This window comes from Homo sapiens, chromosome 11, assembly GCF_000001405.40.
Source record: "Homo sapiens chromosome 11, GRCh38.p14 Primary Assembly".
NCBI lineage: Eukaryota > Metazoa > Chordata > Mammalia > Primates > Hominidae > Homo > Homo sapiens.
Window position 1 is genome coordinate 13,315,393 of NC_000011.10, and position 26,597 is coordinate 13,341,989.

The window sequence follows — 26,597 nt, forward strand, 5'->3', positions numbered from 1 at the left end:
AGCGCTTATGGACTGCTCACCTTGTGTCAAGTACTGTTAGAATGCTTCATGCGTAGCTACTTTGTATTAGGGGCTTGGTAGATGTTGGCTGAGGTAAGTGTCATCATTGTCCCAAAGACACTGTGTGAGGAAACTGAGGCCTCGACCCATTGAGTAGGTGACAGAGCAGGAGTTTATCCCAGATGCTGGACTGTGGGTTTACGCTCTGACCCTTCTATACGCCACCGTTCCCTCTGCTCCAAGTCCTTGCAGTCTGTCCTTTTCCAGCACTTGTCATGGAGGTCATGACCTCGGTTTGTGTGGTTATTTGATTAATGAATGTTTGTTCCCTCACTGGGCAGCCCTTTTGAGCCCCAGGATGGCAGGAGTACCTAGGACTCTAGGCAGGTGCGCAGCCTGGAGTTGACCGAGAGCATGTGGGACTGCCCACTTGCCCACAGCTGCTTCTTGCCTTTTGCATCACAGGAGGGTGGGCTAGGACCATAAAAGAGCCAGCCCAGGCCTCCCCCTTTCTGGAGCTCACTGAGTGCGTGCATGGGGTTTGGCCGTCACCCTCACTTCCATGGTTCTGCATCAGAACCAGCTGTGCTGAGGAAACATCTGTGCCTTGTTAAGGTCTGTTCCTTCTGCCCACTCCCTTTGCCCTTTTCTCTACCTTACAACCCCTTTGTTGTCCTTCTTCAAGGAAAGGGGCCCCCTTTGTCTCTCAGGGCAGAGCCAGCTGCCCTTCTCCTGGTCCTCTTGATCTGCACACACTCTGAGGATGACTGCCCATGGCAGGTCATGATGGTCCGTCTGCCCTGGACTGTGGTTTCTGTGGCAGAGCAATACTTTGTACAGTCAGGGCCCATGGCCCTACGGAAGGCTGAGGGAGAGCCTGAGGTCATTGCCTTAAGAGAAGCTGCTTCATGGTGCAGTTGGTATGTGTGCATGTGTGTGTGGATGTGTGCTTTTTTCATGCATGATGTTTTTATTTGTGTTATTTATCCCCCTGCTATATCTCCCTCTCTCAGGGGTCTAACATGGAGCTTTGAATAGTAGATACATCATAGCTCTTGGCTAAATACATATTTTCTCCCCCGCTGATCTGAAGGCACCTCCCTTTTCCCCTACCCCTCACTTTGGTACCTTGGTGACTTCACAGGGTTGTTATGACTTCCCAGACCTCATTGAGATTGCAGTGATGTGAAAACCCTACCTAGATTCCAGCCAGCTGGGCAGGGGCCTTGGCAGCAGGGGAAGCCCAGTTCCCTAGGGCAACTCACCAGGCCTCCAGGGCTCTCTAGGGCCAGGCTGGCTGAGCTTCAACTGACTCATACTGTTTTTGACTGGGAAAAATAAAAATTTTAAAATGGCTTCTGACCAAATGGGGAAAGTGGATGTGGGAGGAGGAGAAGGGGGACGTTAGCCACACCCTAGGTACATTTGCCAGCAGCAAACTGAGATGGGCTTAAAGTGTGGCTGGCCTCTAAGACGCCTGCTTCAAAGGGCATTCGGCACACTGGTCTCAGGCTTTGGAGGCCCACCTGCTTCAGAACATCAGCTCCCTGTCTGTCTAGCGTTGTGACTTAAGACAAACCCACCAAGCTCCCTTAGCCTCCATTTTCTCATCTGTAAAATGGGATTGTAATCATTAGAATAACCTTTATAAGGTTCTTGTGAGAGTGGAATGAAGATGTGCTTAGCACCGTGACTGGCGTGTAGAAAGCACCAAATATTTATTATCTGTTAACATTGTTTTTGTTTGTCAAAGTATTATTGTTAATAATAATTATAAGAAGACTTTGGAACAGATATAAAGTCTAAAATGCAGGCTGTGATGAAAGGGAGATGGTATATAAGAAAAGTGCTTTTTGAATTGCACATTATGTCCAGATATTATTATTAGCACAAGTATGTTTATTATTGTTTTGTCTTTGAAAAAAATGCTGGAGCACAATTTTATGATGTTGAGTCTATGTCCTTTGTTGTTTTGTTTTTTGTTTTGGAAAAAGGTTTGTCACATTGGCCTTTATTGGAATCTTGTCCAGTGGATGTATGACCCACATTGGTGACCCTGGGTGCCAAATGCCTGGACAGCACCTGGCAAAGAAGAGCCATTATTTCAATGGTCACTATTGTTTAAAATCGTTATGGTAAACAATACCTGACAGAAGTTCTTAGAGGTTCATTGACAGTAAATTGTGGGCAATGCACTGAGTTATTATTTACTCTAGACCTGAGAAATTCTCCCTCTCCAAGTTTTGTGCCTTGTATAGCTAAATAAATATAAACAATTTCCTTAGAATTTGATACAAACAGCTACCATTGTCTTCACAAGTATGTTAGAAATACTTTCTTAATAGCAACTACTTGACTGTTTTGTTTTTTATCTCCATTCCCTGCCATTACTCTGCCTCTTCCCATCTTTCTGAAATAAAAGTGAGCCAAATTAGCCATTTAAAAAATACGTAGATACTTTCAGGCAGAGGTTGAAAACTGTCTACCCCCTGGCTGCATCTGGCTTGCAGATGTGTTTTGTTCAGCACTCATAGTGTTTTAAGATGTTTAAATTAGTGGCCAACATTTAAAAATGGGTAGATTTTTGAATCAAAATCCAGATTTCCAGCTCTTCATAAAAAATCAAAGGTCTAGTGGGCCTGGGCCCGTCTTCCTTGTGGCAGTGCGGAAGAGTGGTGGTCCCTCCCCTGGGAGCTTGTTTCTCCAGCCTGCCTCCGGCTGGCCCAGCCTCACTGTACCTTTCCATGGCCTGCTTGGCCCCTGTAGGAATAGAGTTTGTAGTCTCTGCTTAATATAACTAATACCCCTTAGATACTGTGTATCAGTTTAGAATTATTTCCACTAGCAACTGTGACCATAGGTAGGAAGGATATTTTACTTGCTAAGTTGTCATTCTTATGATAGCCCAAATGGCTATAATAGTATTTTAGGCTCTTTTGGATTTAATAGAATTACCTTCTCTCCTCTCTGTGGGATTTCCTCATTAACAATTTTTAAAAAGTGTTCAGCAAGGCTTATATAGCAACATAAAATTTTAAATAATGCAGGATATAAATTTCTATAGCTGCTATTGAAGGGGGGTTGCAATCAAGTGAACTGCTTTAATTCAACAATTTATGGTGTTGTAAATTTGAAAAATAAAAGACACTTAGTTTTTTTTTTTTTTTTTTTTTTTTTTCAGAATAAAATAATTAAATAGTTGACCTTTGGCAGAGTCTTTGTTGAAATAGGCAAGGGTTTTGAGCTTCTCAGAACTTGAGACCATTGCCTTCTGGAGTCTTTCCTCAGATGAGTCTGTGCCTCCTTCTAGCTAGTGCACTCTGAGCACTGTGGCCACATCTGGAGGGTGGAGAGGAGACTTAGCTTCCAATGGTGGTCACTCTAGGGGAGGGGGGCCCTTGCAAATACCAAAATTTTTTTAAATTATTATTTTATGAGCTTTTAAAAACTTTTTTGTTTTTGTCATCACAAAAGTAATAAACACTTGTGATAAATTCAGACAACACTGAAGTGCTTTAACATAAGCAACAAAATCTTCTGTGACCTCCCCCAACCTTTTCCAACCATTCCCCAAACATAAGCACTTTTGAGAGTTTGCTTCTTATACTCCTGGACTTTTGCATTTGCTTGTTTCTCTCCACCCCTACCCTTTGCCCTCAACCACGACATAGATACTTTCCCTTTTGTTTTCTAAAGATAGACTGTCCCTGTGCATGGTGTTCTGCAACTTTCTTTTTACAGCTGTCAATTATTATGGTTATTTTTCCAAGTCCATATGTACAGATAAATGTACTTGTTACTTTTAAAAGTTGTACTCCATGTTATGGTTGTATGTTAAGTAAATTTCGTTTTGTATTGATAGACACTCAGGTTGTTTCTGACCTTTTGCCATTGCAGTCATTGCTGCTGTGGAAATTTTTGTGCACACGTGTGAACTTTTGCCTGAGATTTTCTTTGGTATAGATACATAGAAGTAGGACTTTTGGTTTAAATGGTTTGCTGTTTAAAATTTGAATCCATAATGCCAAATTACCCTCCAAAAAGGCTGTACCAATTCATGCTCTTCCTAGGAGCATCCCATTATGGCTTTGCTAATCTAGTTTTTGCTTACACATGTGTAAGAAAGTAAATCTTAAAAGCCTCACAAATAATGCCATCAAAATTACACGTTTATCTTAGAAAAGCATTCAGAATATATGTCTGTAGATTTAATTATATGATTTTTATATCTTGACTTTGATGGTGGTTATCATCCTGCAAGGTGACAAAAAGTTCCCTAAATACTGTACACAATTATTAAATAATTATTAAGGATATCAGTTGTGCCAGGTAGCCTTTGGAAGAATTACAGCCAAATCACAGCTTCCTTTTCCACAGCTCTGCCAGGCTGGCTTGTCTTTCCCACCAAGGGCTGAGCCATTAATACTGAGGCTGGGTCAGCATTTGAAGGGGCCCTGCCAGGGAGTGCCAGGCCTTGGGCCCCAGAGACCTGGGGAGTGGGAGATGGCAAGTGACTGCTGTGAGGCTGAGACAAAGTTTTTGCCTACAACACCCCATGGCTGTTTCCTTTACTGAGCTAGATGAGGAAAGCAAAGGGAAGTGATGGTCCAAGACTTCTGGTGGTCACTTTTGTTCATAGATTTCTCACAGGAGTGCTAACATTTAGGCTCATGTTTACGAAGGTTTGAAACCTTAGCATTTGGGAAGGATCTGCAAATTCTCAGCCAGGGGCCTTAACTGATCACAGGTAGTTGTGAACTCTTGGTCCAGGCTGTATCTCAAGGCTTCTTCTTAGAAGGACAGGTCAGCTTACCACCTGCTAACTGCATGTGAAATTTTGAATTCTGCCTTCTCTAGCTCTCCTCTCTGGCTCTGAGCTGGTATCTGGCATTTGCAAACAGTTTACCCTTTGTTGACTTCTTAGCACTAACCTCACTTTTATGAGTCTGAGTAGACTTGATACCCAGGCCATTTATCCTTTGAGGGTGCCCTCAGCTTCATCAGACCCATGCTGGGCAGTCTGGCATAGTGGTAAGAGGCACTTGGAGCCAGACAGACCTGGGTTCAAATCCTGACATCATCACATTTACTAACAGTGTGACCCTTTGGCTGATGACCTCACCTCTTTGAGCATCAGTGTCTCCTTCTACAAAGTAGGGACAGTAATTCTTTCCCAGGGGTATTTTGAAGGATATACGAATTAATATTTGTCAGGTGCCTCTCAGATGTTCAGCACAAAATAAACAGTGTATAAATATGAGTCCTCTCTTATCTTCCTGCTGTAGAGAGAAAGTTCGTTGGGGATGCTCCAAGTTGGTGGCTACTGGCTGAGGATCCTGGAGTAAGAGGAAGGCTACCATGTAAACCCAGAGATGAATCATGAACAATGTGTATTCTCAGGAGCTTAGTATTTGATATGGGAGCCTAACAAGCAAATAGTGTGTCCAGTAATAGGAACTGATTAATAGAGGAAAGATTAATTAACCTTCTAGGTGGGTGGGGTGGAAAAGTAGGTGGGGTATTGAAGGTTCAACAGGAGTTCGACAGAGAAGATAGACCATAAATAATAAATATACGGCTGTATCCACTAGAGATAAAGTTACATTGTTTTTTATGTACATGTTGACTTCTTTTGGCCTTGCCAATGCACTGATATATTCAAATTCAGCTCCTCTCTTTTTCTCTTCCCTTTTCCCTTCACTCTGCCTTTCCTCCAGCCCTGCCTTGAAATACTCAGCCACTGAAAATTTCTTAAAGAATTTCTTTATACTTTAGTAAGTCCTCAGAGGATACCAGTTCACCCTACTGAGATTTTACAAGAACTTTGGTGTAGCTGGGGTTTTTTTTGCATTCCTTTTTCTACGGTAGATATAAGTTCTTTTGGGTTGCCCATCAATGAACAAACTACCAACCATTTGATGTTTACTGCGTGACTCCTGTATACCAAGCACATGTGCCATTTCACTTAGTCCCCAGAATGTCAGAGCAGCTTTGTGAAATGGGCTGCCCGTTCTTTCTTATGGATGAAGAAACTGAGGCTTAGGTAGGTTAATATACTGAATATTATACATGTAGTGAGTGGGAAAGCCACAGTTCACCTCCAGGGTCTTTTTCTCCCTCTTTGCTGCCTTGCTTGGGGTCCTGCTCATAGTAGGTGGACAGCAGATGTTTGTCTGAACATATGAGAACACTGCCTGCCACGTGCCGGTCAGTTTGATTTGTGCTGCTGGTTTTGTAACCCACATGGGGCAATGACAGCTGCTCAGGTACTTTCCTACCTATTAGTGGGGCCCCAGGGTCACACATCAGTCATAATTGACAAAAAACACAATTTCCCTTTCCTCTCAACTTTTATTTCTAAGGTACTTGTAAGCAGGTAGATTAGATTGTTAACTTTTCATTTTTTGCTTTGTCTCTCTCCTTTAAAGACTATGTGAAAGAATACACAGTGCCCTGAGAGCCTGGCCTGGGAATCAGAAACTTAGATTCCAGCTTCGGTTCTGCTGGTAACTCCTCAGTCATTATGGGTAAATAATATTCCCTCTCCAGAACTACTAGATTGTGTCCTTGGTGCAGTCTGGGGTTCGGGTGGTCCTAGGGACCCTGCCTACTGCATGAACCTGTTATCACCATGTGAGGCTGGAAGGATCTCAGCGTTGGTGTTGGGCAGGCCTGAGTGAGCATCCTGGCTCCTGTACTTCCCAGCTCTGTGACCTCGGGCTAATCACCTGACTCCCTGATGCTTGTTCTTGTCTACGAAGGAGGGCTAAGAGGACCTGCTTCCCAGGATCACTGTCCAGATTGAATGAGAAGGAACGTCGGCTTCCTTCCTTCTGTCTCCAACTCCTGAGTGCACTGGTTTTAGACTAACTGGGTGTTTCTGCAGTTGAAACCAAAACACCTTCATTAGGTACAATGTTCATTATACCTCGCAACACCCTGAGATACTCAACTCTTAGATTTCTTGAAGCTCTTTTTTGTTAAGAAACTCCTCAAAGGAAGATACTCTTCTACCCCATTGAGCTTTATTAGTGCTTCAATGACAGCACCTTATTTTTTCACTTTTTTCCCCCTTGCAGACAGAAGCTGCAGTGTGAATCAGTTTGCATTTATATAATTTCTTTTGCATTTCTTTGCAAAGAGGAAAACTCCATTCATTTAGCAAATGTCCGTCATGCCCAGGCCTTATGTTAGGTGAAGGGATTTGGAGAGAAATAGAGTCACTGACCTCAAGAAGCTTACAGGGAGGAAAGGTGTAAATACATAAAGTGACACATGGGTTTGTCCTGTCACCAAGGTATGCAGTAGATGCTGTGGGAGAAGAGAGGATGACACAGGTTCTCTCTTGGAAGACCTCATAGAGAAGAGGTGACTTGTGAGCAAGTCTTTTTTTTTTTTTTTTTTTTTTTTTTTTTGAGAGAGGGTCTTGCTCTGTCACCCAGGCTGGAGTGCAGTGGCATGATCCTAGCTCACTGCAACTTTGAAATCTTGGGCTTCAAGGGATCTTCCTGCTTCAGCCTCCCAAGTAGCTGGAACTACAGGTATGTGCCACTTGCCTGTCTGATTTTTTTTTTTTTAATTTTTTGTAGAGACAGCGTCTAGCCATGTTGCCCAGGCTGATCTTGAACTCCTGGCCTCCAGTGATCCTCCCACCTTGGCCTCCTAAAGTGCTGGGATTATAGACATGAGCCACTGCACCCAGCCGTTGTGAGCAAGTCTTAAAAGATGAGTAGGAAGGAGTCTGTCAGCTGTAGAAGTAGGAAGGGCCCAGGCAGAAGGAGCACAGGGCAGAGGCTAGAGCCCTGGTAGGAGGTGACACACTGGGTGCATGTCTGGAGCTGGAGCCAAGAGGTGGAGGACCTAAGTGGCTACATCTTGGCAGTCACCCATATATTGGCAAGCCCCAAATCTTTGTAACCAGCCCAGATTGTCTTCCTGAGCCCCCAACTCCCATACCCACTGCCCATTCAGCAGCTAGCTGCATGTTGAAGTGTAGTGGTCTTCCCAGACCTAACATAACTAAACAGAAGTCTTGATTTGTTCCTTCAAAAACAAACAAAAAACTAGCCTTGCTCCTCCTCAGTCTTCCCCATGTTATGAGGTCCCCATCATTTTTACCTGGCTACCCAGGCCTAAAATGTGGGCATCATCTTTGATTCTGCTTCCTCCTGTGTTCTTCACATCATCTGTTTGCAATTCTTTTTTTGTTTGTTTTACTGGTTTTAAAAATTATTTATTTATTGAGACTGAGTCTTGCTTTGTCATCCAGGCTGGAGTGCAATGGTATCATCTTGGCTCACTGCAACCTCCGCCTCCCGGGTTTGAGAAATTCTCGTGCCTCAGCCTCCCGAGTAGCTGGGATTACAGTCGTGCGCTACCACTCCTGGCTAATTTTTGTATTTTCAGTAGAGATGGGGTATCACCATGTTGGCCAGGCTGGTCTCAAACTCCTGACCTCAAGTGATCCACCCGCCTTGGCCTCCCAAAGTGCTGGGATTATAGGCATGAGCCACTGCACCTGGCCAATTTATTTATTTTTAATTAACACATAATAATTGTACATATTTATGGGGTACATAGTGATGTTTCAATACATATAATCTGTAGTAACCAGATCAGAATAATTAACATATCTGTCATTTCAAACATTGCAGTTCTTGACAACTCTTACTGTATGTCCTGGAAGCCACCACTGCTCCTTATTATTAGTTTGTTTCTTTATCAACCAAGCAGGCCAGACCACTGCTCTACCCTCGTTCAAACCTCCACTGTCTTTCAGCAGGTCTCTTGTCAGTTTGCTACATAGGCAAAGAGGTCTTTTAAAAAGCAAATTTGTGTCATTTCCCTGCTCTAAACTCTCCAGCGGCTTTCTGGCATCTTTGGAATGGAATCTAAACATCTCGCCTTGGCCTGCCAGCCCCTCCTGCTCATCTTCTCTGGTCTCATCCCTTGGCACTCTCTGCTCACTCCATTTCAGCTGCCGCATCTTTTCTTACTGTTCCCCCTGTTGTCTCATGGGCTTTGCACTTGCTGTCCTCCGCCTGAGCTGCTCTTCCCCAGACACCGCCTGTCTCACCTTCACTCCACGCTGGCCTCTATTCAAGTGTTCTCCCACCTGTCTGAAAAAGCACCGTTCTGCCCCCTCTCCCCGCTGCTTCAACCATTCTGTCCTACCTCGCTTTGGTTTCTCTCATTAGCACTCATCACTCTCTGACTTTATATGATATGTTTGTTTGTCTTCTTATTTAGTGTTTGTCTTACCCCACAAGAATATAAATCCATGAAGATGGGACCTGGTCTTATCTATTGCATTCAGCACTCTAGGGCCTAAAACAGAGCCTGGCACACAGTGGGTGATCCTGAAACACGAGGTGGGTGGATGGACAAATGACTGAGTTAATGCATGCCTGCATGCAAGCGAAGACTTTGGAGTTTATTTCATAGGCAGTGCAAATCTAGTAGACATCTTTCAGGAGGTGAGTGACGTGGTCAGCACTTTTATTTTAGAAAGCCAGCTGGTGGCAGTGTGGGGGCTGGACTGTAGGAGGGAGGCAGCAGAATTACTTTAGCGGCTGTGAAAATCGTCCAGGAAATTGATGCTGAGTGTTGTGCTAGAGCTGTGGGGATGGAGAAGAGGGGACAGATGACAGGACCTGAAGATCTTTGAGTGTCTTTGATTTCTATTGGGATAACTTGGTATAGTGATTCCTTTATAAGAAAAGCAGGAGGGGACGAACTGGTCCAGGGAGAGACTGTTGACACTCTGTGGTGTTTTTCTCACCAAGAAAACCTAAGCCCTGGGATGCATGTTCTCTGTAGTGGCATTGGCTCTCTGGGGAGTGACTCTGCTGCTCCGCAGCCTCCCCTGTTCCATTTTTTAATAAGAGAATAGTCAAGATGGTGGTGTCAGTGAGTGGGAGTCTTCTTCATGCAGATGGATCCATTGATCTTTGCATACTCCAAGCCACACTAAGTCATTGGTTCTTTTCTCGCAGTGGGTACATTTCACCTTATTTGATTCTGATCTGACAAATGCTGCTTTTTTTCTTTTCTTTTTTTTTCTTTTTTTTTGTTTAAAGAATACCTAGACTGTGCTCAAGTTCCAGGTGGGGTTTACAGATAACTGGGGTTCCAGCATCTCCCTTCTTACAAACACGAACAGGAGCCTTTGCCGTCCTTGGGTCTCAGGGAGGCAGACCGGCAGCAGGCACACATTCCTGGCCCAGGCGTAGCCATGCTGTCTGGTGCTGCCTTTTGAGACCTTTTGTGTGTGTGTGTGTGTGTGTGTGTGTGTGTGTGTGTGGGCTTGAATGATTCCTTCTTTCAAAAATTCAACCCTCTCCAAATTTTGATGAAAACCTTTTCATCTCTGAGTAAGCACATTATTTCCCATCTTGATGAGGTGTGTCCCCTCTGTGTCCCTGAGAGTATGTCATCCCAGCCTTTTAAATTTTATTGTATTTTTTTATTTTTTATTTTTTCATACTAGTCAAGTGCAGTAGTGAGAAGCGGGGAAAGAGTAGAACAAGGGGCCGGGGGCGGTGGCTCACATCTGTAATCCCAGCACTGTGGGAGGCTGAGGTGGGTGGATCATGAGGTCAGGAGATTGATACCATCCTGGCCAACATGATGAAACCCTGTGTCTACTAAAAATACAAAAATTAGCTGGGTGTGGTGGCACACGCCTGTAGTCCCAGCTACTCGGGAGGCTGAGGCAGGAGAATTGTTTGAACCCGGGAGGCAGAGGTTGCAGTTGAGCCGATATCATGCCACCGCACTCCAGCCTGGCAACAGAGCAAGACTCTGTCTAAAAAAAAAAAAAAGAGTAGAACAAGGAGTTTGATCTGTTACAGACTGAACTATCAATGGAGATAACTCACTACCTTCGGACCAGCCTCATCCCAGTCTTTTAAGCCTGGTCCAGAATTCCTAATCCTGCTTGTCAGGCCCTTCAAAGTGAAATGCTGTACCATCTGTATAGCTGGATTCTCACCTCCTACCTCTCCTCTCCCTTCCAAAGGTTCCGATGTCATAGGAATCTACGCTAGAGGGCTTCCTGTGTGCCGGGCACTGTGGTAAGCACTTCACATGCATTCTCTCTAATCCTTACCACTTCGGGGATGTAAGGATTATAATCTTCTTTTTACAGATGAGGAAGCTGAAGCTTGCCACTGCTTAGTAGTTAAGAGTATGGGCTTACAGCCAAACAGACCCTGGATTGATTCTCAACTAGCTGGGGACCTTGGGCATGCTACTTAATTTTTTTAACCTTTTTCACATTTAGAAGATAAAGATAATATATAGAGAGATAATATAGAAGATTATATAGGTATTATATATATATATATCTTCTATATTATGAAGATAATACAGAGTTGTGATAAAAATTAAATGAAATGACCAGACATAGTGGCTCACTGTTGTTTTGTTTTGTTTTGTTTTTTTGAGACAGAGTCTCGCTCTGTCGCCCAGGCTGGAGTGCAGTGGTGCGATCTCGGCTCACTGCAAGCTCTGCTTCCCGGGTTCACGCCAGTCTCCTGCCTCAGCCTCCCGAGTAGCTGGGACTACAGGCGCCCGCCACCACGCCCGGCTAATTTTGTTGTATTTTTAGTAGAGACGGGGTTTCACCGTGTTAGCCAGGATGGTCTCGATCTCCTGACCTCGTGATCCACCCCCCTCAGCCTCCCAAAGTGCTGGGATTACAGGTGTGAGCCACTGCGCCCAGCCCATAGCGGTTCACTCATGTAATCCCAGCACTTTGAGAGGCTGAGGTGGGAGGTCACTTGAGGCCAGGAATTCAAGGCCAGCCTGGGCAACATAGCAAGACCACTTCTCTTTTATGAAAAAAAAAAATTAAGAAAAATAAAAATTAAATGAAATAACATGTAATTTCCTAAGTACATTAAGTACGTGCCTACTATGCGCCGGACATTGTGCTGTCAGCAAATAATAGCTCATCGCAGATGCTGTTATCATCATCATCATCCCAAAGCCACAGATTGAGTCTGTAGGTGAGGCCCTGCCTGGCTCCAAAGATTGTGTTTTTTTCTCCTGTTGCTCCCAAGTTCACCTGTCCCAAACTTTCTAGCCCCTAAGTTTGCTTCCTTGCGCTTTTCTGGTTGTGCCATTTGTCCCTGTCTGGGCAGTGGGCTCAAGCTAAGGCACAGCAGTTTTCCAGTCCCTTTGAGCTACTGACCTCTTTTCTGTCATTGACTGAACAGTTTCCGGTGGCTGAATCGTCTGTGTAAGAGCTTGGACAATTTTTTCTGATTGTTACCATCATCGTGTTTACTGTGAAAGGGCTTCCTGTATAGTTGTTTGTGTTAGCAGCATTGTCTAAATGAAACAAGAGTGGCAACAGAAAGGGTTGGTGAGCAGTCCTAGTCTTTTGGGGTCACAGATCACTTTGTGAGTCTGAAGAAATTTATAGACTCTCTCAAAAAAATAAACGACAAGACAAATACAAGCCCAGCATTTTTCATGAGACGTTTTCCCTGAAGTTGATCTGGAAGGCTATGTGCTCTTTTGTCATTGTGCTACTCCACATTCACAGCCATGAAGGGTGTCATGTTTCTGCAGGGTGTTTGTATTTAAGGGTTGTTGGGCAATTTGGCAACACTATACCTGTTTCATTGATACTATGTGCTATTTGCATTTATTTCCCATATCTGAGATACGTATTCACACATGAGAACTGGCCTGGCCATTTTGATGAGATGTACCTGCTGATTTGCACATAAACACAAGCCATGGCCTGCATCTAGAGGATCGACTGGAGAGGCTTTTTTTTGGCCCAAAACATCAGACTAGTAGGAATTTTATTATGAGTTATAGACTAAAAGGGGGGATAAACTTAGCTTCAGCAGGGTTTAATATTCTCAATTCAGGTAAGTGTAAATCTCTACTTTTCATTTTAAACATTTTTGAAATTTCAGTCTTTAAAAAAATGCTTGTTTTTTTTCCTTCCAAGTTTTAAGGTATGGGTTTGGGAGAAGGCAGATTCCAAACACTTTAACTCTTCGACCTCAGACTTGCTTATGAGCCTCTCTTTGGAACATTTCCAGTGAACCGTGGAGCAAGCCTGCCACATCCAGCAGCCGTAGGCATGATGATCACTGGTGCCGATGGCCCCTCCACTCCCTGCCTGGCTTTTGAGGCCCCGCAGAAAGAAAGGAACAGAATCCTTTCATAAGGAAGGCCCCAGAATCCTTTCTCCTGCTGTAGCTATGCTGCCAGTGTCCTCTGTAGATGGAAATGGAACTTGGATTTTGGGTGCCAGAACTGAATTCATCACAGATAAGATTAGTTGATATAAAGCTGTTTCTGATGAGCAGTTTTTCCTCCAGAGTTTTCATTTTTGCTTTTTCTAAATTATACAAAATAATAGACACTCATTACAAAGGGAGGATCATAATGCTCCATACCTGGTTTTGAATTCCACTTCTATCACTTATTAGATGCAGCCCTGGGCAAAACACACGCCCTCTCTGAGCCTTGATTTTTCTCATTGAATGGGAGATCTAATTATTTTACCTCATAATACTGCTGTAGGGATTGAAGGAGATTGGTATAAATAATGGTTTTCTGAGAGTCTGGTGTGTATTTGCTTTTTTTCAGTTAATATGAATTGAGTACCTACTAAGAGCTGGTCACTGTTCTAGTTGATATGGAACCAGTCAAGAGCAAGACAGAGAGGGTCTCCGCTCTCATGGTGCTCACATTCTAATCAGAGGAGGCACAAGAACACAAGATCACTTCAGTTATTAAGAAATTAGAACCCAGGGGTAGCATGAGAGTCACAGGAAGGACCCCTTTACGTCGGATGGCCAGCAGAACCCTCCCTGAAGAGCTCAATGCTTTGTGACCCCCCCGGTCCCAAGTTTTCCAGGACTCCTACTTTTAAAAACACTGCCCCTCCAAGTATATAGGTCTCAATTTTGAGTTTGGAAAATCTGACCACATATTAGTTCTCTTGTTCATTAATGGGCTTCCCATTTAGAGAGTGAGTTCCTGGGGCAGGAGCCATGTCACAGGACCTTTTGAAGGTCTCAGGGCCAATATGGACGACACTTCTCTTGAACACTCACCCAGTTGGGCTGACATGAAAACCTCATGGTGGGAGGTGGGGGGTGATTAGTTTCCAGCCAGAGCCCATTTTGCTCCATTGCTGCTTTGAACATTCTGGTTTCTAAGGAGCTGGAAGTAGTTTCTCTCAGCGAGAATGTGGCACACTGTCATCTCCTGATTCTCTGCATGCAGTTCTTCAATGGCTTGTTGAGGCTGCGTGGAAGCCCAGAGGTCGGGGCAGTTCCAACTCACACACTGGCATTTGAACGGCAGAGCAGTAAGCCCTACACCTGACATAACTGCATTGCCTTCTTGGGGTACGGTACGGATTTTTAAATGACCATTTCAGCCTGCTGGGCTGGGCAACGGTGATCCAAACTGATGAGTCAGGAAGCCACTGAACAGAAAGGCAGGCTGCATCTGACTCACCTGTCATGTCGATAGTTGACCTCCTTTTGTTTGACCTTGATTTGCTCAGTGCAATTAAAGATGCTGTTGTGAGTGCACTTCTGCTACCTGATTTAAATAAAGTCTAACATGTGACAGCTCAGGGTCTTAAATGCACACACGACTTAGGCAGACGGACAGATGGGTGAGTGGTTAGCCTTTCACTTACCTCTGAATTGTAATTCTATCACAAGGAAAGGGCTTAATTTCAGGAACACGGAGTAATTATTTGAGACTAGATACAATGCCAAAGCAGCAGGCCTTGATTCCTTGCTACAGGGCAGCTTAATCAGGAAATGGCCTAGATGGCCGCCTTTCAAGTAGGTCCTTGCAGTAGCTTGGCAACAGGCACAGGGTCATAATTGGAAGAATTTGGCTGTGAGTGTCTGTGGGTGTTTACAGTGCACTATAGGGCAGGGCTTCTCTTATTTATAGAATATTTTGAGCAACAAGCAGCAGAAGGCTGAAAAGCCACTAAAATCTCGATTTATTTTTAACAAATTCCATTTTTCTCCTCATCCCAGAAGGAGAACTGAGTTATTAAAAAACAGTTAAAAAATACATCATTGCAGAGCATGCCATATCTAATTATGGGGTTGCCAGCATCGGCCTGCAGCCACATTTCAAGGGCTTCGTAAATCAACCATCCATTCAATCTGTGAACTTATATGACTCCTGTTCTCCATTTAGATGTAGAGCGAAATTATTGGCAAGTGGGTGCTGATCAGAAAAAGTTCTTCCCTGTCTAAATTAGGAGATGGGAGGGATAAATATAGAATAGTATACTTATGTTCTCAAAAGGAGATAAAATCATTCTTCATTGTCCATTATACTTAGCTGCACAAACATCCATCCCATTGCACTAAATAGCCACTTTAGAGTTTTCACACATTGCAATGGCAGTTCTGTGCCACTCAAAGGCGCAGTATTGTGATATCTCGCTGAGCCTAAACCTGAGTGATTATTGCTCACGTAGTCATGAAGAGACATAAACCCAGTGCTTTTTTGCCTGTGTTGTCGTAGTGTACTAGAGCTACAAGGTGGGCCTTCAGAGAGACACTAGTTTTAAGTATATCTCATTGTAGGTGGGGAAGCAGAGGCCTAGGCAAGGGAGTGACTTGCCTAGGGTCCCATTAAGAGTCATGGCAGAGGTGGGCTGGGGCGGCAGTCTCTGTGCTTCTCTTGACAGTGCCCTGCTGTGCTCACTGGAGCTACTGTATTAAACAGATACCCTTCAGGGGTTCACAGTCTTAGAAGACACAGGCACGAAGATGGCCAAACAATCAGCCCATGCATAAGCAGACCAAGATATGTGTATATAACAGATTAGTTGAGTGGTAGAGAAAATGAGAGTGGGGAATTTTGGAATCTATTTGGATAGCAAAGCAAAGGTAACATCAGTTGCTCTCTGACCCACTTGGGAAAAGCTTATAGAGATGCTATGAAGTTTTCTAATGGAAAAAGGTGCAGTACATTTGCCATGTGTTAGTGGGAAGGTAAGTATGATGCAGTGGTGGGTGGTAGGAGGCAGTGAAGATAAGTATTGCAACTTTGGAGGAGCCCTGGGAATGGATTGTTGAGGTGATTTCATAGGAATACGAAAGGGAGCATAGGACCAGGGCACAGGCCAGAGACAGGCAATCCCAAGTTCCCTGGAGTACCCTGCCCTTTTCTGGGAAAGCAAGTGGGTGGCATGAGTGCTATGTTCCCAATGCTCTGGCCCCACCCCTGGTAGAAGAATAATAACTGATCATGGTGGGTTTTTTCTGAGCCTCTGTATCTTTGAGTAGCATTCTGGTAGCCAATATCAGTGGACTGGTGCCAGCCTGTGTGGTGAACCTCTATCTCTTTCTTGCCCTGGGCTGCATGTCAGGCACAGTGCCTAAGCCGGAGTGGGCTTTGGGGAGTTACTTCTCTTTCTGAGGCTGGAAGGGGCAGAGGGACGTAGGGAAAACTTTGCTAGGGAGGGCAAACTGTGAAAGCCTCTGGAGAAGTCACCTGTTGGGATACCAAAGGCCAGCGGTTTTAGAGGATGCGAAGAGGCCGGGCGGGGTTGGTCTGGGCCTAAACTAAGGCTGTAGCGGCTAGCATGGAGAGGAACAAGCGACGGGGAGTGATTACGGATGAGGAAGACGTACTAGGATTTGGCTACAGACAGACAACCAACCAGAGAGTAAAAGACAGTGACATGCTAGGATGTGAACCACCTACTACAGAGAAGGTCAGAGGTGGGGAGGGAGGAATCAGGGCTGTGGGCAGATCCAGCAGCTGGGATCCAAAGCTGAAGCCCTTGGGTTATTGAATCCATTCTTTCTGAGAAGAGATGGTTGATCTTCCTGCCCAGGGAGTTCCTAGCCAGACTGGACAGTGGTTCTCAAACATGGTGCCAGGTGTTGTCAGATAGCAAACAATTAGTTTGTACACAGAATGTCCCCAAGGTCACCTACACATATTTGTTTTTCCTAATCTTTGATACCTACAGCCACTTACCTGCTTTCGAGTTCTCAGAGTTGAGAACATATAAATTTGCAGTAACAAGTGCACAGGAAATACTTGGAAAATGGCTGATGAGCTTTAGTTTGGAAATTTCATTTTTTTCTTGGATCTGGATTATAATTTCAGTACAAGCTAGCAATTTTTCTTGTTGGTAAAATAGTTTCTAGTTTTAAAATTATTTCTGTAGTTAATAAAGTTAACACTATTTCATGATGGAGGCTGCCCCAGCTCTGAACCAATTTTCAAAAGGCAGATTCTCCTCTTTCTCTCTCTTATTTCTTGCTCTTGAACATTTCACTGTGTTCTAGCAACTTTTCCTGTGTGTGACTCGGCCAGGAGACTGACTTGAGTAAGATCCAGGTCAAGGGGTTGTGTGGGTGGGTCGGTGGTAAGGAGGTGCTGAAGAACACTAAAACCTTTGCCTGAGAGGAGTCTGGGAAGTAGCCTGCGAACTGGAATGACCCCAGGCTTCCTGTCACGGTCATAGCCCATGGAGTTGGCAGACTTGATCACTCTATATTGTGTGCCCCCAGGTAATGGCATTAGTCATCGATACTGTCTTTTTTTTTTTTTTTTCTTTGAGAGAGAGAGTCTCAGTCTGTCGCCCAGGCTGGAGTGCAGTGGCGTGATCTCAGCTCATTGCAGCCTCTGCCTGCTGGGTTCAAGTGATTCTCCTGCCTCAGTCTCCCAAGTAGCTGGGATTACAGGTACATGCCACCACACCCAGCTAATTTTTGGATTTTTAGTAGAGACGGGGTTTTGCCATGTTGGCCAGGCTGGTCTCGAACTCCTGACCTCGGGTGATCTGCTCACCTCGGCCTCCCAAAGTGCTGGGATTACAGGCGTGATCCACTGCGCCCGGCCAATACTGTCTTTAAATCGTCCAGAGTAAGAAAATGTTGATAGCTTGTTGTCACAGCCCTGTCATTTTACACATTCCCTGAATTATTGTCTGGCACCAGCAGGTGTTCCAGAAACACTTTTGGTTCTTTGAGCCATTACTGGTCATTCCTGTCACCACTGCCACCACCAGATGTGGTTCTGAGAGCATTAAGTAAAAGTTTTGAAGGTTGTGTATGTTAAGACTGGTGCAAAGTCCATCCTCCTTCCTTCGGGCTGATCAGCCACACCCTGGCTATCAGCACTTATTTACTCATTTTCAAAGTGACAGAATGGTCCAGTGGGCAGGGGCATAAGGGGTCACTTCCTCTAACCACCCGCCAGTGCAGGAGGATCCCATCTGCGCAGTGGCTGCCCATGACAGGCAGTTCCCTAGCCCCAGTCGGACATCTCCGCACCAGGCATCCTGCTCCTGCTTTATGGACATCTTTGGCTCTTAAAAATCCTCCTTTATTCTGACCGCAGATCTGCCTTTTGGCAGTGTTTCCTTAGTGACCTAGTTCTGCTTTTTGTGGCAACACAGAACAAAGGTCGGTAGGCATGGCACAATTCCAGCTTAGAAGTTTGAAGGTAGTGCTCATGGACCCACATCCTTTCCCTCTCCACCCACTCTATCTCCCTCCACAAGGTTTATGTTCTCCAGTGCCTTCAGCCATTCTTTCTATGGCATGGCAGTCAGTATTAATCCCAGTAAAGGTAACATGTATCCAGAGAGTGCTTGCCATGGGCCAGGCACTGTTCTAAGCTCCGTACGTGAATTGTCTTATTTATGACTCAAAATCACCATATGAGGTGAGCCCTGTCATCATCCTCATTTTACCAATGAGGCAACTAAGGAACGAGGGCTCACATCTTGTCCCGAGCCATGCAGTCAAGCAGCAGAGCAGAGATTTGGGGCTAGGCAGTGTGACTCCAGAGCCCGTGCTCTTAGTTGTGGTGCAAGACTATCTTACAGCCTTTCCTGCATAGTGCCAAAAATAAGCCCATGGTGCACTAGACTTGGGCTGGCCCTGCTTTAACTTATTTTGCAAGAAATCATTAGACAGGAGCCTTAGTTGAACCATTTTCTGTGAAACCTTCAGAGTTTGTTTTGACAGAACAGACTGCAGGGCAGAGGCATCTGCACTGTCCCCAACAAATGGGTTCATCCTGTAGCTCTGCCAGGCCCCACAGGGTTCATAAAATGGTAGCTTTAGATCAAGGTGACAAATACAGGGCTCTTGATGTTTTTTTTTTTTTTCCTGAACATGGTGCCTGAGCAATAGGTTTCTTGTTTAAAGTGCTTAGTCATGGTTTTATGGCCAGAAAGTAGAAGGAGAGAGGTACCTAAGAATTGCAAAACTGGGTCATCTCTTCAAGTGCCTAATCCAATATTCAGTCTCAGAGAACAACTCCAGCAGTTACGGGGGTGGAAGGATGTGATGACCACCTACCATCCAAAACTGGGATGTAGGTGCCAAATACACATTCTCCTGAAATGATCCCTGGTGCCTCTAGCCAGGCTCTTCCAGGAGTCTAGAGAAAGATGGCCCATGACTTCATCCAGAGTCTTTGCTTCCTGTGCTCTGGGATGCCTGGGCTTTTCTGGCCACAGCCATACACTGACAGGGCCAGAAGGGCTGAGATGCTGGGATTGAACCATCTTTCTCTTTGTGAGTTGCTTTCCAGATAGCACGCATTCCGGTCACTATTTTCCAGAGATTTAAGCAGCAAAGTGAGGGACCCTCGGGCATCGACTCAGAGACCTGGAGGGGAGCAGCTTGAAGCAATGTAAAAAGCACTGGATAAAATCTGGTTCTACCAAAAATAGGGCTATGAGAGTTACCTCACCTCCCTGAAAGGTAATATCTTTATCTGAAAAATGGGGATGATAATACTACTAACCTGGAAGATTGACAGGAGGATTAGATGAGATTCTGCATGGACATAACAGTCCTTGGCATGATGTCTAGCAGTGAAGAAACATAAATATGAGAATAATAACTTCCTTCTTCCTCCGCTGTCTATTCCTTCTCTTATTCTAGTCCTGTCTGCTGTTGGGTTTTGTCTGTTGTTTTGGGTAAATAGCTAACCTCTCTGCCTCTTTTTGTCTGTAGAAATGCTACTGGTTCTGAATGGGTACTTCGCGCCCCCTATAGGACATCGTGGGAATGTGTGTGGGTGATCTGGATGTCACAGTGACCCAGACGAGGCTTTTACTGGGGGAAGAGGGGAAGGCAGGGGTGCTAGATATAATGCTTGGGGAACAAAAGATTGCCCAACATCTGCATAGCTGCCTAATGCTCAGTGCATTCTTGTGGGCAAAACCCTGCTTAAAATTATCTGGGCCTAGAGTCTGACTCCAATTAACACATAAACACAAATAATTTTTGCATGTTTTTAATATATACTGAATTTTCTGCGAACACAGCTACCAAGTATATAAGATTTACCTATTTGTTATGAATAGGTGCAAGCATTTCATATATCTTTCATGATGTTTTCTGGTGTAGCGGTGCCCCAATACTTACATATTGATTTACATGTTGTCTTATTTTTAACTATATTTCCTTTCTTCTTTGTATTACAGTTAGGGCATTATATTGATTATTTTTGGAATTATAAGTGTTGTAAGGTTATATTACTTACAGATTTCAAGAGAGCTAAAGACATATTTAAAATATTTTTATTGCATTTTTGACAATATGAAAGAGCAAGAGAGAGAGAGTGTGTGTGCGTGCATGCATGCACATGCTTACAAATTAGCTAGAAAAATCCTAAGACAGACTTTAAATGAAAAGAAATGGTTTCATAGCTCCTAGAAATGTCCTTTTACATAAGGATATGTAGTAGAAGTCCAAATTTTTAACTGCATTCATTGTCAGAGAAATGAGGTGTTTTGATGTTTCCCCTGTCCCTTTTAGAAAGTATATGATCCTAAAAGAGCCTGAAACAGTTTCCATTGTCATATTTTTTCATTTTTGCAATCTCTATTTTTTTCACTCCTCCCACCTGTGCATATATATATTTAAAAGCGTCCCCATATAGACTTTTAAAGAAAGAAAAGCCAGCCAGGCTCCCCACTCTTTACTAAGTTTGTTTTGATTGTTTTGTGGCCTCTGCCTGCACCTCGGCCTGAGTCAGACTGACTCTGGGAGCTGTGGGCAGGTCCAAGGGAAAGTCAAGGAGGTAATGAGGCTTCTCGTGGGGGCAACTTGTAGGCCAAGTTGGGTGGGTTGAAGTCAGTCTACCAGAAGCTTCCTGCCTCAAGCCTGGGCCTCTACCTGTCCTGAAACCTGAGGGCTCTCCAGTTGGACCACGAGGGTCTGACATCCAGGAGGATCCCCAGGAGAGAGCAACCGTCACTAGGGAATATGCTGCCCAGCACTGACTGTACTGAGCAGCAGTGTTGTGTGCCTGTTGGGTTGATGCCATGGATAGCCAGGCGTTCAGAACTGAACACGACACCTAAAAGGCAAACACGAACTGTGAATGTGCCAGTGTCAGATGCTGCCTTGGTGGTCATGTGTGGGCTGGCAGTAAGCTTTTGGTCCCTTAACACTCGCTGTTGGAAATTTCCCAAGGCTTTCATCTAGGGTAGCTGGTGTGTGATTTCCCTGTCCTTTGTTACTCCTATCTGGAAACTAGTTGAAATCTTTTCTATGATATTGATATAGTTACAGAAAATCTGAATACTTACTACTAAGTTTTATAGTTCTGCTTAGTTCAAAGTAACACAACCTCATAAGAGAAAGTTTGAAACAGGTAGAGAAATTGAAAGATGAAAATCACTACCCATTATCTCAGCCCACAAAGATAGCTACTATCAGCATTTTGGTTTGTTTCCTTTCAGTCCTTTCTGTGTTTATGAAATTTTATTATATAAATAATTCATGTCCAATATAGAAAAAGATGGAAAATTGAGAAATTATAACGTTAAAACAAAACTGACCCATCTCACCAGTTGGAGATGTCTTAATATTCTGGTGAATTTTTTTTTGTCTTTTTTCTATAGACACATAAGAAGACTGGGAAATATTGTGTATATACGTTTGTACCCTTTTTCACCAATGTATATCAATGTATATCAGTTCACTAATGAATACTAATTAAATGAAAATTTATTAAATGTATATCTATTTATATCTATTGATATATTAACAGATGCCAGTGCATATCTATTAAAAGAGTACTATGTAAGAGATGATGTTCTTAAACATAAAATTTAATTTAGGCATGAAATTACTTTGTCAAAAGATATATCAGTTTATATTCAGATATACAGTGTACTGACCTGCCCATTTACCACATCTTCACTAATACTGGTATTATCTTTAAATAGAATCTTTGCTAATATGAGCAGTGAAAGTGGCATATTATCTATTAAATTTTGACGGTTATGAGATTGAGCATGTTTTTGTATACTTACTGGTCTTTGTGTTTCATCTTTTGGGGTTTCCTATTCATAGTCTCTGCTTAGTTTTCCACTGAGGTATTTGCCTTTTTATTGATTTATAAGAGATTTTGTTTTGTTTTAACTCAGAAAAGGTAGTATTGCTTCAGTTGTCACAGAGCTTTGGAGTCAGACAGAGCTGGGTTTGAACCCTGGCTTTCCTACTTGTGAGCTGAGGGATTTCAGGCAATTTATCTGACCCCTCTCACAATTAATTAGTTCTTCTTTGAGAACTAAACGAAACAACACTGACTAGCATGAAAAAAAAGCCTGGTGTGTGGTTTCTGCCAATAGTTTTTGTGTTGTTATTTTTGTTGTGATTCCTGCACTGAGTATTTTCTCAGAAAAATGACCTTGAGCTGTACGACTCATGCCTGTTCAGACCCACAGACACATGATACTCACTATATCCAAAGCTCAGAAAAATGAAACTGAAATCACTGAAGTTTGTGGGTTTTTTTTTTAAATTCTTCTTGCCAGAAGGAGACAAATGAAGGAAAAAAAACAAGCCGATTTCATTTTCATTAAGAGGAATTTGTAGAGTTATTTCTGGGGTCAGGCAGGATACATTCAGACGAACATTTTAGATCTAGGGCTGGGAAGATCCCGAGACTCGTTATAGATTACATCATCTTCCTCCAAGTGCACTTGCCAGGCAAATGGACAAGTGCATTTTAGAAAGGTTTTCAGTTGTTCACGTTTAAACAGAAAGGATCACCTGGCTAACTTTTAGTTAACCCATTGAACAGATGTGCCATTCCCCCAGCCCATTGGTTATTCATGTCCTTGTTACTGGTTTTTGATATCCTTGCCCCGTAGGTGGGAGGAGGGATGGGTATGAGCCTGCCCTGCCCTCTTTCTCCTACTTGGGACAGAGCTGTTGCTTTTATTTGCTGAGTCACTGAAGCAATAGAGCATGTGCAGAGTCCCAGCCTGGAGGTGGGCATATCTGGGTTCCAGTCCCTGCTCTAGCCCTTCTCAGCTGTGTGATCTTGGACAAGTTGCCATACCTCTCTGAGCCTCAGTGTCATCTTCTATGTGATGTCGATGCCTCCCCCAAAAGGTCGTTACGAGGACCAAAGGAGACACGTCAGGGCAGGAACCATCCTAGGCACGTGTTTGATGCTCAGTAAACGGGACGTGGTCAGTGTTCAGAGTTGTGGGGGTGGCAGGTGACTGCTCTGTTTCACCTCCACTCACAGCAACAGGGCCTGTGGTGTCACCTAGACATCTCATAGGCATCCCACACTGAACATGTCCCAAACCAGCAGCTCCTCCCTGGATGGGTGGATGGTGTACAGGGACCTCTTCCTCCAGCTGTCACATGGGGCATGTACCTGGCAAGTGGCTTTGCAGCCCTAGCTGCCCCCTTGGCTGGGGGCCTTTGTGCAGTTCATGGACTGGGAGTCACCCCCATGTCTAGACCGTCAGGAAACCCATTGGCTTTTCCTTTAGAGCATACCAAGAATCAACTTCTCAGAACATAGCAAGAGTTGACTTTTTGTCACCCTGCCGTGGCCACTCAGACTGACTCCTCTTACACCTCACATCCCATTGATCAGCACAGCCCCTGGAAATATGTCTAGAATCCAGCTGCTTCTCATCACCCCCACACCTAATACAGAGGGCTGAGTCATAGCATCTCTTCCCCGGACTGTTGTAGCCGTCTCCTAACTCAGCTTCCTGCCCTGCTTTTACACACACACACACACACACACACACATGGTATCTTCTCACCACTGCAGCCAGACTTAAAACCTAAGAGGGATCATGTCACTCCCCATTTTACTCAGAGTCAAGGCCAAGATCCTTACTGGGGTCTGCAGGCCCCCACACCTGGCCCTCTGACTGCACCCCTACCTTCCTTAGCTGTCTCCTCTCCCTAGCATGCCCCAGGTCGCTGGTCCCCTAGCACTGGGCAGCTCCCTGCGGCCCTGTTCACTAGCTGTCCTCTGCCTGGAACACATCTGTCACCTCTCACCTCCTCCTGTCCAGCCTCCTTGGGGCCTTTCTAACTGCCTCCCTCCTGTGGTCTGCCTCCTCCCCATCTCTGACTTTCCTCCCGAGCACTTACTGCCATCCAGCACCCGACATAACTTACTTGTTTCGTTTGCTTGCCTTCCTCACCAGGAGGTGTGCCAGATGAGGACAAGGATTTTTATATCCCTACCCCCATCTGCAGCACTGCCATGGAGAACAGTGCCTGGCACTTGGATGCCCTCAGTAAATATTTGTTGAGAGACTAATAAGTGATCGTGGGCCAGCATGCCAACAGTGTCTTCGTTATTACAAAATTGTCCCGAATTGAAATTTGGCTACTACAAGCAGTTTGTGGTGGAAATTTACTCAAATTACCAATTCTTTCACTGAAGAAATTACCTGGCATATGTGGGTTCTCAATAAACTGTGTTGGATTGCCTCAAGGCTTTGGGGCAGTGGTAGCCGTCTGAGGCCTCCTTGCCAGTCAACCAAACCCTGTGCTGGGTGGGACATAAGAGATGCCCCCAGCATCCTTAGCTGATGCTACTATGTCACCCCAGAATCCCTGGGGCAGCCCACCCCTCAGCAGCAGCTGTCACCCTGCTGGGTTCCGCTTTTCCTCCTGTGGGCTTCGTCTCCCTAAGGAAATCATTGTCCTTGCTTTCTACATCTTATCTCCCTGAGCAGCTCCAAAATTCTGTTATTCATATCCCACTGACCTTTCTCATTGTCCTAGTCCAAGCTTCTCACAGGAGGAGTTGTCTCTCTGTTTTATATTAAAACAAAGCGGTTGGACTCTTAAAACTCTATTCACTTTTCAGATTCTTTGGAGTCCTCAATGCTTCCTGCTATGAAATGCTGCGCTCTGGAATGCCTTCCAGACCCACCCCCAGGATACCTGTAGCCTTCCCTGCAGCCACTCTCCTCAACTCCCTCCTCGTTCCCAGGGGTCAATGTCCTGGATCTCTCCAGCTTTAAGTTCCTTCATGTCCTCTTGCCACCCCTGCTCTCACCATCTCTGAGTTCTTGTATCCCCAGGATTTCAACCTGAGTTTGCATCTCCTGACATCACTTTTCCCAGCCTTCTCCCTTTTCAACCAGCACAAGGCCATCCACTTCCATGGCCATAGTGGACGCCACTGAGCATGCTAGGTGTTTTCTTCTATTCAACTCATGTGGTCTGCACAACAACCCAGTGCGGGGAATCCACCCCTTTCACAGATGAGGCATCTCTAGCTCCTGGAAGTCACCTAACTTGCCTAGGACATGCAGCTAGTAAGTGGCAGGGCTGGGATTGGAACCCAAGAGGCCCCGCCCTGACCACCATCCTGCCCTGCCTCTCCTCGGGCACCCAGAATCCCCTCACTCTATTGTCAAAACCCACCTTGTCCTGCCTGTCTGGTACCTAGGGGAGAACCCTCAGCCTCTTCTTCTGCTGCCACTTGCTTCCTCTTCTGCCAGGAAGGTCCCACGCCTGGCCAGCCTGCTCTGGAGACACGCCCACTGCCTGGCCTTGCCAGGAGGCTCTGATGCTCTGCAGGCTTCCTGTCCCACGGATCCCTTCCTGCCTGTCCTGGGGTCCCACCACCCCACTTTGTAGTTGGCCTTGCTCTTTATTGTGGTGAAAGGTGCAGGCCATTCCATCCAAGATCCTATAATATTCCTTTTCTCTGCTGTTGAATGTTCTTCCCATTCCCCCCACATTCTCAAAGAAGGCATGTGGCTTTCTTCACTGCGTCTCGGCCTGCCCTGAGTCCAGCCCCTGCTGCCTGGCCCAGCCTGTCTTGTTGGCATCCCCTAAGCCCTAGCCAGAAACACAAGCACCTTTCAGGTGCTCCATCCTAACTCCACCCTCCCTCACACTGGCCTCTCTCCCTTTGCCACCAGATAACAGCAGTGCATTCTTTTGTTTCCTTTAGAACAAGATGCAGATGTTTTCCAGAATTTTCTTCAACTTCAGGCAGTAAGTTTTTTGGTGAAAGGAGTATTACTCCCTGAGTCTGTAGAACCAGGCTCTCTCCTCTTATTCTGTAGCAATTAAAGACAAAGACAGGCAAGAAAACAATGAAAAGAAACAGGAGCCAGGCTGATGCACCTTCATTTAGCTGGTCCTTGAGCATGACTCATTGATCCTTCTTGCTTCCATCAGGGATTGCACCCTGTGCCCTCTTTGAATGCAGGGGCATGTCAAGGCCAAGGGTCAGGAAGAGAGCTTTGGCCTCGCCAGCCTGGTCCCCAGAGTGGAAGTGGCAGGGCAGGAGGGGTGTGGCAGACA

At 44.9% G+C, this 26,597-nt stretch overlaps 1 protein-coding gene across 47 annotated transcripts in view, besides 3 other annotated features; it reads left to right on the top strand.

The window, feature by feature from the left end:
* BMAL1 (basic helix-loop-helix ARNT like 1) overlaps window positions 1-26,597 on the top strand; it is a 110,615-nt gene that overhangs the window by 38,741 nt on the left and 45,277 nt on the right. For 11 of the 47 annotated variants that reach the window (NR_147788.2, NM_001351804.1, NM_001351812.2 and 8 more), the window contains exon 3: window positions 11,021-11,075. The exons of 31 other annotated variants lie outside the window; for them this stretch is intronic. The gene's annotated coding sequence lies outside the window, so the exon portion shown is untranslated. Of the gene's footprint in view, window positions 1-3,179; window positions 6,528-11,020; window positions 11,076-26,241; window positions 26,286-26,597 lie in introns of those variants that run through there. 5 more of the 47 variants (XM_047426953.1, XM_047426952.1, XM_047426955.1 and 2 more) reach the window with 3 other exon arrangements.
* Window positions 18,270-18,564: a silencer, noted in NCBI's record as "tiled region #3016; HepG2 Repressive DNase matched - State 8:EnhW". NCBI's record gives its function as "represses a minimal TATA promoter and a strong SV40 promoter by Sharpr-MPRA in HepG2 cells {active_cell/tissue: HepG2}" and the evidence as "EXISTENCE:reporter gene assay evidence [ECO:0000049][PMID:27701403]".
* Window positions 22,872-23,041: an enhancer, noted in NCBI's record as "active region_4463". NCBI's record gives its function as "activates an Ori minimal core promoter by ATAC-STARR-seq in GM12878 lymphoblastoid cells {active_cell/tissue: GM12878}" and the evidence as "EXISTENCE:reporter gene assay evidence [ECO:0000049][PMID:35858748]".
* Window positions 25,884-26,384: an enhancer, noted in NCBI's record as "H3K27ac hESC enhancer chr11:13362823-13363323 (GRCh37/hg19 assembly coordinates)". NCBI's record gives its function as "activates a minimal SCP1, AML or CMV promoter by ChIP-STARR-seq in naive H9 embryonic stem cells {active_cell/tissue: H9 hESC(naive)}" and the evidence as "EXISTENCE:reporter gene assay evidence [ECO:0000049][PMID:30033119]".